Source organism: Homo sapiens, chromosome 5 (genome assembly GCF_000001405.40).
Source record: "Homo sapiens chromosome 5, GRCh38.p14 Primary Assembly".
NCBI classification, from domain to species: domain Eukaryota; kingdom Metazoa; phylum Chordata; class Mammalia; order Primates; family Hominidae; genus Homo; species Homo sapiens.
This window is the reverse complement of record NC_000005.10, coordinates 128,185,010-128,202,138: the sequence shown is the minus strand read 5'-3', so window position 1 is coordinate 128,202,138 and position 17,129 is coordinate 128,185,010. Positions and strand designations below refer to the sequence as shown.

At 39.5% G+C, this 17,129-nt stretch overlaps 1 protein-coding gene across 3 annotated transcripts in view, besides 2 other annotated features; it reads right to left on the bottom strand.

Annotated features, from left to right (window-relative positions):
• Positions 530-709: a silencer, noted in NCBI's record as "silent region_16296". NCBI's record gives its function as "represses an Ori minimal core promoter by ATAC-STARR-seq in GM12878 lymphoblastoid cells {active_cell/tissue: GM12878}" and the evidence as "EXISTENCE:reporter gene assay evidence [ECO:0000049][PMID:35858748]".
• Positions 3,515-3,894: an enhancer, noted in NCBI's record as "active region_23038". NCBI's record gives its function as "activates an Ori minimal core promoter by ATAC-STARR-seq in GM12878 lymphoblastoid cells {active_cell/tissue: GM12878}" and the evidence as "EXISTENCE:reporter gene assay evidence [ECO:0000049][PMID:35858748]".
• Positions 12,462-17,129, bottom strand: part of SLC12A2 (solute carrier family 12 member 2) — a 105,912-nt gene continuing 101,244 nt past the window's right edge. For all 3 annotated transcript variants that reach the window (NR_046207.2, NM_001046.3, NM_001256461.2), the window contains one exon: positions 12,462-15,643. Coding sequence is in view for 2 of the 3 variants with exons in the window: in NM_001046.3 (NP_001037.1) it covers positions 15,508-15,643 (136 nt within the window). In the remaining variant the exon portion in view is untranslated. The remainder of the gene's footprint in view (positions 15,644-17,129) is intronic.

The window sequence follows — 17,129 nt, the reverse complement described above, 5'->3', positions numbered from 1 at the left end:
TGTGATAAATACATTTTTGTTCTTTACAAATTACTCTGACTCAGGTACTCTGTTTACAGCAACACAAAGGGACCGAGACGCCTCTCTTGTATGAGGTCTTGTCATGCCAAGTGTATGGGATTTGGAGTCAGCCTGGTCACAGTTTGAACCCTTGTTACACCATTTTGAGACTGCGGACCTCAGAGAATCTGTTTCCTCTTCTGTAAAATGAGGTGACTATTCCTCTTCTGTAAAATGAGGTGACTATTCCTATCTAGCTTGGGGTACAGTAAGATTAAATAATGCATGTCAGATGCCTGGCACCTAGCGGGGATCCAGCTCATCTAGAACCTTCCCCGCTCTTTCCCCTCGCTTGTGTGGCAGGAGTGGTCTTGGGCATCATGAAATCATTCGACCCCAAACTGTCTCCCCGGCAGGAGTTTGTTTTGCTTTCTTGAAATCGGCCATCATTCAATTCCTCTGCCAGAGTCCATGTTAGCCTGAGACCAACTGGAAATTTTTTGCCTCTGAGAAAGGAAACCAGAGAGACTCCTCCGTGAGCTCCGGAGGAAGAGACGCCAGCCTTCTGACTTCTCAAAGCATGTTATTCGCATCACTACCTACTCAGGCCACACGGGGGAGCCGCGGGCCGGGCAAAGGCGAGTCCGCGCGCCCGCCCAGCGCACACCTGCCCGGCGGTGGCGGATGCCGGCTGCGGGCTCCCAGCGTGGGCCAAGAGTCCTCACTCGGCGAGTTACACTGAAATCAAAATGAAGCAGAAAGATGTGGCTTTAAAAAGAGAAAAACATTTTCAAGTCACGTGCTTTTTTCTTCGCTTCCCTCTTATCGTGAAATCTGAGAAATGTCAAACAAGAAAGGAATGAAGTAAATCAGGATTACAGTTTAATTCGAAGGCAGGTGGTGGGGGGTGAAGGGGAGGGAAGGAGGGAGGGAGGAAGGAAGCAGGAAGGAAGGATGGACGGATGAATGGGTCTATCCTAGGATCCTTCTGTTGGTGTGAAGTTGGGAGTGACTCGGGTTAAGCAGAAATGGGATTATGCGAACCCTCAGTCACGTGTCTGGGAAAAGGATCTCTTGAAAGACTGGAGGTTTTAACAAATAAGGATTTGCCCGCATTCGTGTACTTTTCGGCACTATTTTCTCAAAACAGCAGACACCTGTGGGACTGAATTGTTCACTAATCCTCAAAGAATAAAAGCAACCTAGAAGCATTTAAAGGGCAGTTAAGATAACAGCCTGAACTTGGACAAGCAGGTGGCCAGTTCCTTAAGCAAATACTTAGACACCTAACTAAACACTACCTCTCTTTTTTTCCTTGACTTAAGCATTTCAAACCAAGCCCCCACCACCTTCCTGAGCCAGGGTCCGCAGGAGCTCCAGGGCCACTACACATGGTGTTGCCCTGCCCTAGATAATCAGTAAGTATTCACTGAATCAATAAGCACTTTAATAAATGATCCTCTCTTCAAATCATCATTAACCTTAATCCTTAGCATGAAGGAAATAATGAAATAATGGTTATTATAAGTTAGGTCTCAAGAATTCAAGCATACATGAAACATGCCATGCAAATCATATTAGTGTGTAGTTGTTACAACTAGAACACTCAACCAAGTCACACGTTCCAAAAAGCTCCAATCCTAATAATGCTCCATGCCTATAACCCCTTTGAGCTATTCCCCTGTCACCAGCAGCCTTCCCCCTTTATAGATTTAATCTTTTCATTCATCCCTTCATGAAGTAAATCCTGTATTGAAAACTCCAAGCTGCTCACAAATAAGATAAGCCACTAGAGGTATGAAAGTGATTGTCAGTTACTCAATCTAATGGGGAAATCAAATAAATGACAGTGGGATCGTCCAACAGATCAGGTGGAAGGGCTACAGGAGGAGTGTGGTGATGGGATGTCACAGGAGTTTTACAGAGAAGGTGACTTTTGAGCTGTGTCATCAGGAAACAGTAAGACTTTGCTAGTTGGAAAAAGTCACAAGTAATAACTGCAGTTTCCCAATTCATAATGTTTAAAAAGCATGGGTTTTTGAGTCACACAGTCCTTAGACACTTGACAAGATAAGGCATTAATAGCAGAGGTTCATTTGGCTTTTTCACAGTGATAAATTCATTTATTTTTAAAATATTTTGGCACTCCCCTTTAGTTCTACAAATGTACTGATACTATACTACAGTTATCAGTGAAGCAACAGCATGTAGGAGTGGGATCCATGGGTTCACCTAATACCTTAAATATCTGCCATAATCTCTTGGTAGTCCTTCCCTCATCAGTGATGAATAAGTGGGAAACAAAATTATTACACAACCCATAGTGTTCATAAGAGAAACCAAACCAGTTCTTTGCTTCATTCATTCACTTATTCATTGACTCAGACATTAATATTAATTGCTGATTATGTTGCAAGCCTTGTCTAAGGTTACTACCCCTAAGGAGCTCCCAGATTGGTGTAGACCACAGAACAAAACCAGGTAACTCAAGTGTGTTACCAGGTGACACCAGCATAGTGAGGACATGAAACGGCCAAGCTGGTGAGCACAGAGGGGCACAGCAGAGAGGGACCCTAATCCAGACCTGTGGCATCAGAGAAAACTTCCTGGAGGAGGTCTTTCTGAGCTGCTTCTTGAAGAGTGCTGTACTTTCCTCTAATCTGGTCTGGAGGGCTCTCCCTGGAGAGGGGTTATAAATTCTAGTCCTGCCCTGATGGGGCTACAGGAAAGGCGGTCATGAGTATTTACAGTGTGCCTTTCATGGGATACTACTTTACCCTGGTCAATGGCCTCATGCCTAAGTGTCTGACTCATGACCAGGTGTCCCTCTCACAGGAAACTTGTTTATATTGGCAGACACCCTTGTGGCTCTTGTCTGACCTGTGTCCAGTGCATTCTTACCAAGATAGCCACTCTGTAGGAGAGCTCTGACGGGGAGAAGAGTTAGGTTCGACTGTGTCCGTGGGGTGAGACACAGAGGAGGCAGTGCAACAAACACATTAAATAACAAAAGCAGTGCATTACCTACAGACCCAGAGAGAAGAGGGCAGCACGCCTTGCCTCACAGGGCCAGTGGGATGAGAAGAGCTGTCCAGGACACATGCACTCAACCAAGGAGTGGGGAGCAAGAGAGAGAGAACCTGTGGGACTAAAGCCTTTACTGGGGACCAGGGCATTACCCAGTTTCCCGTGGGTAATTCTACTTGGTGGGTTTGGAGCAAGCAGGTCCATGTCTCATGCAGTCACACTGGGACTGGTCACTATGGCATATCTGCACAGTCCATGTTAGGTACGTGGGTCAGTAAGGTGATTCAAGTAGGCTGCATTGGGAGGTGGTCCCATAGGGAGGTGGTCACCAGGAGGCAGTTGTATAAGGCAATGTATAAGTCCATTTTCATGCTGCTGATAAAGACATACTTGAGACTGGATAATTTATAAAGAAAAAGAGGTTTAATGGACCCACAGTTCCACATGGCTGGGGAGGCCTCACAATCATGGTAGAAGGTGAAAGACATGTCTTACATGGTGGCAGTCAAGAGAGAATGAGAGCCAAGTGAAAGGGGTTTCCCCTTATAAAATCATCAGATCTCGTGAGTCTTATTCACTACCATGAGAACAGTATGGGGGAACCGCCCCCATGATTCAATTATCTCCCACTGTGTCCCTCCCACAACACATGAAAATTATGGGAGCTACAATTCAAGATGAGATTTGGGTGGGGACACAGCCAAACCATTATCAGGCAGATATCTGGATTGACCAGGTTGAGGAACTGGGAGGAAGTGTAGAACTGGAAACTCTGTCAAGGGTGACTGAGCCCTGCTTCTGGTATGAAAGAGTTTAAGTTTCAGTCAAAGTAGATGCTGCAGCAATGTAAAATTATGAGTTCATGACAAGGAGGAAAGTCAAAGGCCAGCCAGAGAGAATGGCATGTTCCACTGCCTGGAAGCAAAAGAGCCCACTGTGCCAATGGTTAGTCTGACTGGAGTATAGAGCTCCAGGCATGGCAAGTGGTGGCTGAAAATGAACCTAGAGAGAGGCGTGAAGGGCTCAGAAGTTGCTGAAGAACTTGGAATGCAGCCAAGGAATGGTTTTAAGCAGAAAAGCGATAAGATCAAATCTGTCTTTTGAACTTCACCCTGGCTTTAGTATAGAGACAGGTATAACAGAAGGCAAGAAGACAGATTAGAAACCTTTTGCAATAATGTGCGAGAAAAACACAACTGATCTTGGCTAATCAACAAAGTCCCAGTCTAAGTTAGAGGGCCAGAATGATGATTTGGATTCAGTTTAACTGGCCACTGCTTGGGTCTGCTGAAGAGCTAGCAAAGAAACTAGCAGGGAGGCACAGTGTAAAAATGATAGACGTAACCAAATTTCTTGTGGATGCAGCTGTCGTATTCAGGGGAGGAGGGTCCCCTCTCTGGAGGTGGAGGGAAGACTTTGAATAATGCCCAGATGCATTATTTGAATCAGCAAAAAGAGCCCACCTCTTCCCTGGCTGGACTCTGGACTCTGTTTCTTTCCATCATATTAGGCTTAGGGCAGGCCTGACATGGTCGGTCTCAGTGTTGGAACCCTGAACTGATGTCATGGAAAAAGGGCCGGTGAAAGGTAGGAAGATTAAAGATGTTGAGAAAAATGTCAATAGGATAGGGTGATGAATTGCACCTGAGCAGTGAGCAGAAGGGAGGAGTTCTGCAAGGTGTCTGGATTGGTTGAGCGCTGTTTTCTAATTCAGGAGAAAGGGGGAGAAAAGAGTTCATAGCAATTAACACTATACGCCAGCCAGTTTACATATTTTGACTTACTGAAATCTCATAACACTTCTGAAGGGGATCGTAGTATCCTCATCCTAGAGTTGAGCAGCAAGGCTCAGGGGGGCCAAGGGAAGTGTCTGTGCTCATAGGGAGCTGCAGAGTCAGCTTCAGGAATCCACAATCTCTCTGGAAAGCTACATCAACACTTCTCTTGTCTCTCACAGTTGGGCCTTCTGGTATTTTTATGCTCAACTTCTTAACTTCTCTGAAAAAAGCACGGTCTCCTGTAGTAAGCAGAAAACAATCTTCCACTCACTGAACTAAGCTGCTGACTTTTTACCTCATCACTTTTTTAGAAGTTCAAGGGATATTTCTTGTTTATCAGCTGCTCCAGTACAAGTTCATCTAACAGAACACGTCAGCTCTGTGTGCAATCTGAGCTTCACATGCAGCTTCCTGCCAATGAGCTAATTTTGTGGCATGGTTTTAGAAACAGAAGAGTTACTTTGATGTTTTGGAATAGTTAAGCCTCTTGGAGATACGAGCATGACTTTTCCTTTATCCACAAACTGCTATTTGCAAGACAGTGGAACCTCTTGGAAACCAACGAGTATCTTCATAGATTCATATCTAAGTACTTTTCTGAGATTATGAGAAAAATACATATTCCACGTGATTTAGGTCATTATTTCTAATAAGGGGACAGTTAGAGCACTGCTTCTCTGCTTTGGTTTCTTCAGCCATGACACCTGAGAAAATTAATGGAAGTGATAAATCCAAGAGAATGTGGCCTCCAGGGAACAGAAATCCAATCAAGAAATGACTATTTGACAGGTTGTATTATTATTCATCTGATGACTCTTATTTCTAGATATACAATGAAGAATGTCAAAGAAAAGGTAGCAAGCTACCCAATTCATGCAATAAAAGCAAATGTAAACCTTATAACTAAACGATAAATACAGCAGTCTTGTTTCAACATTATCATTATAGTGGACAATATAAACGTTATGTACCAGGCACAGTTCTAAACCTCTTCAATAAATTGTCTTACTTAAACCTTATAATGATCAGTAAGAAAACTATATTCCCATTTTACAGATATGGACACTGAGGCCAAGAAAAGTTCATTTGCAAATGACAAGAAGATGATTAGAATTTGGGCAGTCTGGCTTCAGAGCCTGTGGCTGTCATCTTAAATACTACTAGGAATAAACTCAGTTATGTATTTTAAGGGTAGCCTGGTTGACCCCAAGGGTAGCCTAGTTTATCTTGGTCTTGATAGACTTTTGCCTTTCCTACTAACAAAGTGTTGATAAAAGATTCTTAAGTCATTTCGTGACATGGCAAGGGAGAGAAAACAAAGTATCCTCTACCACTGTTCTCCCTCAACCCCTCCACACCCCAGCTCTGCAACTTAACAAGAATAAACTTATTGTTAACCCCTACAATCTTCATCAGTCCTTACGGTGGTTTTATGGCCTAGCTCTTACAACAAAAGATGAAGCCAGAAGAGCACCTTTTACTCTTTGAGGAACTGTCCTTTCCCCACTTGGTGTGTTCGGGTGGACACAGTACCCTATCCCCGACCTAGGTGATTGGTCCGGGGTGGACTGATATACCATCTATTTTTAGATATGAAAATAGAAATTCTTAAAAAGTTTAGTCATCACAAATAGTAATAAATCCATTGCATGTAAATACAAATAACTTTTTAAAAAGAAAATAACTATATTTTCCAAAAATGATTAGTAAGAAGATAGGCATTGCTCTGCATGTTTTCAAATCTCTTCAACATTTGGCTTAGTAGAAGACAGCCAGATTCTCATAGCTTCATAGATTCCATTAGCCATTGAAGCAATGAGGTTACCACATGTCAACTAACTTCTGGAAGACACCACTGTACGCTTGGCAGAGAATGAGTGAAAAAGGCAACTAACATCTTAACATTATAATGAAAGTAGTTTTGACTTTGCAGAACCCCATGAAGTTCCCATGTCACACTTTAGGAACCACTGCTCTAGGGAAATGTATCCATTTTTGACTTCACTACTTACTATTAAGGGCTTAGACTCTAAGAAGTTACATGTTTTACTGTAGACCTCATCTGCTAGATACGTAAATATTGTCTGTCTAGTATAAAAGATAACTCCACAGGTTAGGATCTGTCTCTAATTCAGCAAACATTTAAAAATGCTTTTCCTGGTGAAGACATACATCCTATTCCTTTCATTCTCCTTTGAACCACTTTTGCCTATTGGTTCTCTGACCAATGAGTTGAACATAATCTTTGACTTATTTACTCTATTTGTATACTTATGTTTTAAACTTTTGGAACATGATAGCTTGACATGCACTTGGCTATTTCTGGAGATTTCACCAAGTTTTCTGTAAGAAATGGTTAAACTTCTAGCTAGGCTGGCCCTTGTGAAAGTAGAAAGGAGACAACAGGTGATTTTGCTAAAAGAAACTCGCTCTTCCGCAGCTAGCAAACATGACTGGATGAGATTAAACAATCAAAGCCCTCTCAGCATTTAAAAATCCCAACTCTCAGTCTTGATCCACAGGAGCAAAGGGTAGATTCTAAAACCATGGACGCGATGGGGATCGGGAGGAGCCTGAGAACCAGGAGACCCCTGATCATCCCCTTCTAAGCCCCTCCTCTTATGCATACCCTTCTGGGCAAAAGCAATCTGGTGGAGTTGCAACATGCATGTATTGGACTGAATTATACACGTTCTGTTGGAGAGTGGTGGTGGTGGTGGTAACTAAGAAGGCAATGACAAAATACTCCAGTTATTACAAAAAAAAAAAAAAAAAAAAAGCCGGGCGTGGTGGCAGGCGCCTGTAGTCCCAGCTACTTGGGAGGCTGAGGCAGGAGAGTGGTGTGAACCTGGGAGGTGGAGCTTGCAGTGAGCCGAGATCACGCCACTGCACTCCAGCCTGGGCGACAGAGCAAGATTCTGTCTCAAAAAACAAACAAACAAACAAACAAAAAACTCCAATCATTCCGTTTGTCATGAAGAAAAAAGTGGTATGAGATGAACCTGTCATTCCTGCCACTGGTGTTGGCTCCCTCACTGTGGGATCCTAGTATTTATGTAATATTTGAACAACATTGTCCTAACTGCAAGCCAGCTGTTTCAGCTGGTACACAACTTAAGAAATAATGGAAGGAAAACCTAACTGTACTAGACTCATTGAGAAACAGAACTGTGTGGTTTGGAAGTGGTAAGTGATTTTCAAGTGCAATGATGACTTCCTGTGATGACTTTAGAATGTGACTTTGCCTAAATTGCAATTCCACAGGAGGCATTATGACCATCATAAAGTATTGGAGCAGGAAAGAGAATCTCTGCCAGACCATTGCAGCCAGTAAACTGAGAACTAGAAAATAGGCTGTGTTGGTGCTAAGAGAAAAAAAAAAAGAGCAGAGTTCAGATCAAGGATCAGATTTCCAAGGTTGCTGGAATTGCTCACCAGTCCTACAATACCCAAAGTCAGATCAACAAGTAGCTGGCTAGTTAAGGGTGTTGCCACAGAAACCTCTAGCCTGGCAACAAGCTTTTGAGACTTCTCTAGAGTAGTCCTCAGACCCCTCAGCCTACAGCAAACGTGCGCCCCCAGAATGGGAATCCTTACATGCAGCCATGGAAGACAATGGGTAAGCTGATGATCACAGAGGAGAACCTGGGGAAGCAGTGACTCACCATGGAACCCACTTTAAGGCCAGGGCTTCCTCTTCTCCCCATTTCCAAATGAGTGTTCTTACAGTGACTCTCCTATTTTCTCTCCGTAACTATATGTAAGCAGTCCAGCTGAGTGGTTAAGAGCACAGGGATCAGCGATATTCCCTGAATCTGGACTGAGGCTTTGCACTATGTGACCTGGATTCACTCCTGTTATCTCATCTGAGAAATGGGGATTACAGAGTCTACCTCACACTTGTGAGGATTAAATGAGGGCAAAACATTTCATTTATCTGGTACACAGAGGCCTTCAATAAATATCAGTCATTGTAAGGTATATTAGGGGTAAAAATATCATTTAGCCAATCATAGGTTGCTGGATCATGAGCAGCCACATCTGGATTTGATCATCATAAATATTCTGGACTAAGACATGTCCCTATAACTAGAGACTCCGAAGGAAGCAGATGACCTAGATTTTCTCTGATTTTTAGTTAAATGTGGGTCAGCACTATTCTTTAGGTCACTCCCAGTGGTATCTATTGGTTTGGTTTTCCCAACCTCCCTTTAATTTTTTTAGAGACGTGTTCTCACTGTTGCCTAGGCTTGAGTGTGGTGGCAGAATCATAGCTCATTGCAGCCTTGAATTCCTGGGCTCAAGTGATCCACCTCCTGAGTGGCTGGGTCTACAGGAATGTACCACCATGCCCGGGTTAATTATTTTTTTGTAGATACAGGATCTCACTATGTTGCCAAGGCCAGTATTGAAATCCTGGTTCCACCGATACTCCCGCCTCAGCCTCACATAGTGAGATTACAGGCGTGAGCCACCATGCCTGGCCTCCTTTTTTTTCAATAATAAAATCTGTTTTAAATGGAGAATCTACTTCAAGTCAAGTGGGCACAAGATTCATGTCTAATCAATGGCATGGCTGAATTGGGGGGATCACATTTCCCAAACTGAGCCCATTGGGACCCTTCCCTAGTCTTTTCTGCCAAAGCTTATGAGGAGACACCACCTTTTTACTGCAGCTGTTGTTAAGCCACCAGGACTGAGTATGGTTTTCTCAGAAGCCACAGAGCACACTACATGATGACAGTCTATGTGAAGAACTGTCACGCTTAGAAAGGCAAACCAGAGAAGGAAAGATGAGCCCTAAGGACCCCGTTCCAAGTCCCTGCTTACACTCACTGAAGTCCCTAAGCTCAGCTGCCTTCTATGGCTTCCTTTTTCTGTTACCCACCTTTGGGTTCTGTTCTTGCCACTGACAAAGACCTAATATAAAAGGGAAACACTGAGCAATTTGGAAAGGAGATAATCATTTGAATTCACAGCTGGTGTTAAGGGGAGATGGAAGTTACATGTATACCATGAAAGAAAGGACAAAAGGAAGTGTAAAGAAGGGAGGTTATATTGAGAAGTAGCCTACGTGAAGAATTTCACTTAGAGATTATGTGGCAGGACTAAAGTATGTGTTAACAAGCCCTGCCATTGATTCTGAGGCACACTAAAGTTTGGGAACCACTGTTCTAATCAATGTTTCAATACAAAATATACCTGTGCTTCCTTACCAATTTTCTGAAAAAACCCAAGTGCGAAATTTATGTTAATACTACTAAACTCACAAGGGCATGGACAGTAAGCAATGGATAGTCTTTACTGATGGAAAGACCACAGAGAAAACAGACTACCTGAAAGATGTAGATTATTATAGCTCTGAGACTGGCACCGTGTAGCTAACAGAAGGTGCTGGTTGTGTCAACAGATTTAAAAATTCAGAAAAAAACTAACTTCTTCACAGTTCACTATTTCCCAAAAGGAAATATGACACTAAGACTTAAAGGCACATATTTTGCAATTCATAAACCTTTTCTTGGAGCATAATTTTTCATCTCACTGTCACCAGCCACCTCCTTCCCAAACTGTCCTTGTCATCTTCTAAATTTCTTAAATAGTAACATTTCTTAGGAACTCAGAGGATAGTTTTCATGGCTTAAGCAAAAATGTTGTAAACTTAAAAATAATCTGTGACTTTCTGGTTATCCAAATGCATGCCTATAGATTGCTCCTTTTCAAATTGTGACTTCCTTGAAAAAATGGCTCAACTGAAGCTTAATTTAGAATGTAAAAGAGCAAATGTAGTATCTTTTAGTAGTTATACACCTTTATATGTACCTTATATAAATAAATATGAACAGTGCCTACTTAATTTTAAAACTGTCTTTTTTAGTATATCTTAGAGATATAATAGCTGGATATAAAGTCACCCTATAAATTGCTTGCTTTCTTAAGACGAAGTTAACTCTTCCAGGATGAAACCTCCACAATTCTCTACCTCAAAAGCTTCGGTAGTATTCTAACAAAATTCTGACAAGTATTGAGTCAGATTTTGGCATTCAATACCAATGGATCCTGATCCTGTTTTGTGGATCAAAAAAGTAAGCTTATTTTCATTTGTAGCTTTGGGTAGAATACACTGGTAGTTTGTATTCATATCCTAGAATCGTGGAACAAAGGATATGTGTTACCAATACACTATCATTTTGGGGAATGAGTTCCTGATCTGTGAGGACAGCAGCCACAAGGAAGGCTGCACAGCAGGAGGGGACAAATGCAGAGGCATTCACATTTTCCCTAATAGTTTCAAACTTTTACCTTGTCTAAGAAAAAATTAAAAGGTAGATTTAAGGAGGGAAAAAAATGGGCTGAGGTTCTTAATGCTATCATTTAACAGACCATGTTAAATGCCCATCATATAGGTAAAACAGGTCCATCACCATTGCCACCAGATTCCATACAGGACAATGAGACTTAGATCCTTAGGTATTCGACTACTACCAAAAAAAATATGTCAAGTTGGTTAACCCACCAACATGTTGTATTTATTATCTGAACTAGAGAAACTAAATAGTACTTTCTATTGAGCATATCCTAGAACTTGTACCATCTTTTCCCCAAAAGTTAAACATTAAACTACCATCTATTTCCTCTGGACCTACAAACTTCCTATAGGTACATAAACATAAAGAGGGAAGCATATCAAATGGATTTATCTTTTCTTCCTGGTGAGTGAACAACAAAAGCCTGCTGGCTCAAAGGTGAATGATGTTCCTGTTTTAAAAACTGTTGGATGGTCTGATATTAGAAAATGTCACATACATAGTTGCCTTCAAATTCTCTTTTAGCTTTCCAAATAAGTGAGTAAACTGGCCTGAATAGTGGCTTGAGAATAAGGAAGATGACAAATCAAAAAATGGATATTTACATTTTGTTTCAAACCTATTAAAGGCAGCCTGTAGCCAACCTATATTTCTAACTATAATTTGCCTTACCTGAACACACATTTACTGGGCGGACAGGTGTAAGTAATTTGGAAATGACCAATCTGGAAATGACCAATCTATCCCAGCCATCTATCTTATGGATCAGCCAGCAGTGAATGCATAATAAAGAAATTCCTGGGGATAAAAGACCTGGGCTCTAGACCAATATCCTTCCTTGATTTACCCCATGACCTTGGAAAACTCCCTAAACTGCTCCAAGCTGCTTTCTCAAGAGTAAAAGAAATAGCTGTCCTGCATATATACACACCTACAGTCATATTCAAATGAGAAAATGAAAATGCTTTCTAAAACTCTAAATGAGCTTAGACAAAAATCTTTGGAAGGAAAGAATCAGATTATATTCAGGGACTATGAATCGCTTTTAATCTTCCAGTTTCCTCATTCACAAATGAGAGATCTGGCCCAAAGATAAAGCAGAATTAGAAAAGCTAGGTCACTTAAAAAAATACCATAATGAGCTGCATCTCAGATGGTTCAGTCATACTGTGAGCATCAACAGTGATTATTGCAAAGGTTTAAGAATAGTGAACGACTTTTCCAGGGCGTGAATATTAAGGTAAAAGCTATTTTAAAAATTCAGAAATGAATGAAGCAATAGTTATCGAAATGAGATAAAACCACAAAGCTGGCAAAGACTTATTAAACAGATATAAGAATGGACATTAAATAGGTTTAATGAATCCACTTCCTTTATTGCAGTAACCTCTGTACAAAGCAGCAACTGCAATACTCAAGGTTAAAACATTAGAAAAGCATTTGTGTGACAGGTATATTACAGTATTATCAAAATATTACATTTTCAGACTTACTTAGCAGATAATCATCCACCAGAGCTTAAATCTTTAAATTATTTCCATAGTCTTAAAAAATATGTAATGTCAGAATGCATATAAAAAGAATGTAAAAGGAAACCTAAAATACAAATGGAATAATGTAACAAATAAATATTTGATTTCAGTAACTGTTAATAATCAGCTCAACACCACCATTCTCTCTAAACTCAATTTAATTCTTATAGGAATAATGAACTGTCAAATGCCATGGCATAATTATTTATTTCCAAGCTATCATCAATGATTAGAACTAAAAAAAATTTGGCATAAAAAAATCACAATTCAGCATAAATAAAGCTATTTTTAGCTTCAACACTAGCTAGCATCTCTAAGAATTGTTGAAATAAGTACTATAACCTTGAAAATTTTCGACCTGGTGTCTAGTGTTAAGTGAAAGTAATGCATTTTTTTTAAGTGAAAAGCTTCTTACATTATTTCACAGACAGTATTACCCACCCCACATTATGAATAGTTAGATATATTTTATGTACTTTATACCCACATGTATGACGCATGACATTTGGTTCCTGTAGTACAGATCACAATGTTGTTTTCCTGAATGGGAAAAACTTAAAAAAAAAAAAAAAAAAGGTAAGTGTACCTGTGCACATTTCAAGATAGCAGCACTCAGTCCATGCCCTATTATCCATCTTAAAAGTTCACACATTATTGTTTACTGAATAATATTTCTACTGTCTTTACCCCCAAACATTGCAAAACCTGCAATGGAACAATGCTGTGAGTTATAATGTAGAAATTTTTTTTTTTTTTTTTTTTAGAAAATCAGTTACTTCATTTTCTTAATATTCTGAATTCAAGTTATCAGATCTCTATACCTAGGTCATACTCATGAAGCAAAAATGCTGCACACCACTGAAAATAATAACGTTATAGATGTCTATCAAGATTCATGAAAACCAGCCAGGCGCAGTGGCTCGCACCTGTAATCCCAGCACTCTGGGAGGCTGAGGCGGGTGGATCACAAGGTCAAGAGATAGACACCATCCTAGCCAACACGGTGAAACCCTGTCTCTACTCAAAATACAAAAATTAGCTGGGCATGGTGGCGTGCACCCGTAGTCCCAGCTACTAGGGAGGCTGAGGCAGGAGAATCGCTTGAACTGGGGAGGTGGAGGTCGCAGTGAGCCAAGATCACGTTACTGCATTCCAGCGTGGCAACAGAGCAAGACTCCGTCTCAAAAAAAAAAAAAAAAAAAAAAAAGGATTCGTGAAAACCTGCATAAATTTTCCACCACAGAAACTTGTATCAATTAACCCACTTAACAGTATTTTAGGCGAAGTATTCTCCATTTTTGAACTGGAAAATTGTGTGAAATTACAGCATGCCCTTCAAATGATCACCTTTGTTCTCTATGAAACCTGTATCTGTTAATCTGATTTTGAACATATGTTTACTTAAACCAAAGTTTGCCTAATGAATCTTGATCACTTTAAAATGCAAAATACCAGCAACATAAATTTCATTATATATACACATATGCATCTGTGTATGCATATTACATATATATACACACACACACACAAATATGTAGACATAAATCCCTTGAAATGTTTTCAGGAAATCCTTCCTTGAATTATAAATGAAAAACTTCACATTAATAATTTCATATAAAGCTTTTAGTAACAGTACATATGCACTGTCAAAATTTTACTAGACTATGATGTCAAAACAGACATTTCAAAAGCACAAACTGGCAGTTTTTCTTAACAAAAGTTTTAAAATATTAAGAATGGATTAAATTTTAATATTCAGAATAATCTGTTCAAACCTGAGTGTATTAAGACTAAGTGTACTTGACAATTGAATGAATTAAGCCTAAAAACATTTCTCTAAGAAACCAGTGGTCCATTTAACCATTTGATGAAACATTATTTTAATGACTTATAAAGGATAGTACAGTATACTGAAATTCCACTTAAATACTGAAATATTCTACTAAATGACATTGTTTTGTCTAAATTTCCTCCAGAAAAATCTGTTAGCATTTCTTAAAAGTCCCTCAGATTTGAGGGAAATTCTAAATTAGGACAGTTTTCTCTCCAAATAAATATAAATGATCTTGAGTATTTTTGTTTAAAGAATGACGTGATTTTTAAGCATGGTATATAGAAGTATGGGATGAATCTTCAATCTTCCCTAAGGTTTCAATAAATAATAATAAATATAGTAATAATAGCCAATCAGAGGGGTTAAAAAGGTATTTGGGGGGGCTTTTTTTCCTAGCTCTATATTCACATATACTCATATAAACCTTACCATGGGGTTACTTTTTGGTTACCATTTCCCCTTCCCCATTTTTGATTAACCTGCCCTAATTCTCACCTTTAATATCTAACAGATACCTTTATAGAATTAACAAAACACATACAGTACTCAACACTAAATGGTCAATGGAAGAAGACAAGCAGTGTTCATTTTGTTTTAAAGTGGAAGAGACTAGAAATAAAAACAGTTGAAGGCAAAGTTTGACATTCTATAAGTTTATAAAAGAGGATATATGGATGAAATTTGGTTAATTTCAGAAGGCACCTCAAGGCTAAAGGCTTTTTGTACTTCTTTCATCAATCAAAAAGTTAACACGCTTTTATTGCTATTCAAGTAGCAAAGGAAAACTACTCTCACAAACTTCAGTTCAACAGAGAAGAATCACCATTAAGATTGAGATATGGAATTGACTAAAACCGAAGTCTCCATACACGTTATCAATGGAGCAACTTTCCTGTGTGCTTTCAAATTAATGAAATCGTGAAAGAAAAGTCACCATTCGCCATTGTGATGTTAATGTGTCATTGAAGATTTCAGTTACTACACTAGGCACTGAAGTACCATTCTGGAGGGCTGTCCACTGTATAGAACATTTATGAATAGAAGGTAAGGACACTCTGATGATTCCCACGAACTAGGAGGATTGGTGGTAGGTCCTTAGATAGAGCTTCTAACCATGCCATGTAGAGAGCACTAGACACAGCACCTTTTCGTGCAACTGGGAGACTCCTGGTATCAAAAAGAGAAAAAGAAAAAAAAAAAACCCTGAGCAATGCATTTACAGAATAAAATGTAGCAAAAATTATAAAGTAGATTACAATAACAGTTACTGTAAATTACTATAATTACAGAATATTTCTGAGTGCAGGAGAATTCTGCAAATAGAATAACAACCACAGTTGTGTTGCTTAGCGATGGAGACGCATTTCTCAGAACTTACTGTCAGGCAATTTTGCCCTCGTGAAAACATCACAGGAGTACTTACACAAACCTAGATGGTATAGCCTACTACACATCTAGGCTATATGACACAGCCTGTTGCTCCTAAGCTACAAACCTGTATAGTACGTTACTGTAGTGAATACTATAGGCAACTGTAACACGATGGTAAGCATTTGCATATCTAAATACAGAAAAGATACAGTAAAAATATATATATATTTTTTTAAGAGAGATGGGGTCTTAATACATTGCCCAGGCTGGACTCAAAACTCCAAAACTCCAGATCTCAAGCAATCCTCCCACCTCAGTCTCCCAAGTAGCTGAGACTACAGGTGCACACCACCATGCCCAGCTTAACATATGGTATTATAATCTTATGGTACCACCATCATATATGCATATATAAAAGACTATAATCTTTCAACAAAAGATTTTTCAAAATTTGTTCATAAGAACAGTAAGTATTTCTATAAACCACAGTACCTCTGATATCTAACACTAAATCCTAGGTTTCCCCTTCTTTAATAAGAATAGAATTCTTTTAGGTGAAAGGTATGTTTACTATCAAAATTTAGAAAACAGAAGCTATATATGGATAAATGCAATTTTTATCTTCTCTTAGTTTTAATTTCTATTTATGGATGGTGGCAGCAGTGACCAATTGCTGTATAGTTTTTCTCTAAATTTCTATGTTTTGGTGTCTTTTCCATTTACAGGTATTTGATTATCATCAGCAAAACTTGAAACTTTTTGATTTATTGAATGTTGTTAAACTAACAATCTTTTGGTAGTTTTTTTCATTACTTGGCTTTTTTTGTGGGGGAGAGGCCTGAGCTTTCCTATCTAAGGACACATGTTCCAGAACTCAGAAAATGTGGGTTCAAAGAATAGCTAACCTAGTTCAGTAGAGGAAGAGCCAAAGTAGGCATTTAGTATCATATTTAACTCAAGGACAATGTGTCTGTATGTAAAATTTGCGTGTTGGAAACATAAGAATGGGGATCCAGATAGGAATCACTATTCAAGTTTAATCTGCCAAATAACATTTTTTGAATTATTTTCAAGAGGAAGCTGTCCGGGGCCCAAATTTTAACGTAGGACCCTCCTATCCACACGTGCTTAACGGCTATGCTGTAGTGTTTACAAAGATAAGGAATTTTAAAAAGGTGAGAAGAAGGGTAAACAAAAGGTTCCAATATAACCTACTATGATAAAAAGATTACTTGGGATTCATATAAGCATAAGGTTAAAGTTTTTGTCTTTCTCCATATGC